The sequence below is a fragment of the Homo sapiens genome, chromosome 20, assembly GCF_000001405.40.
Source record: "Homo sapiens chromosome 20, GRCh38.p14 Primary Assembly".
Lineage (NCBI taxonomy): Eukaryota > Metazoa > Chordata > Mammalia > Primates > Hominidae > Homo > Homo sapiens.
Window position 1 is genome coordinate 62,100,935 of NC_000020.11, and position 208 is coordinate 62,101,142.

A 208-nucleotide genomic window follows, 5' to 3' on the forward strand; every position below is an offset into this window, starting at 1 on the left:
AGTGGCACAATCTCGGCTCATGGCACAATCTCCACCTCCTGGGTTCAAGTGATTCTCCTGACTCAGCCTCCTGAAGAGCTGGGATTACAGGTGCCCACCACCATGCCCAGCTAATATTTGTGTTTTTAGTAGAGACAGCGTTTCACCATGTTGGCCAGGCTGGTCTCGGACTCCTGACCTCAGATGGTCCACCTGCCTTGGTCTCCCA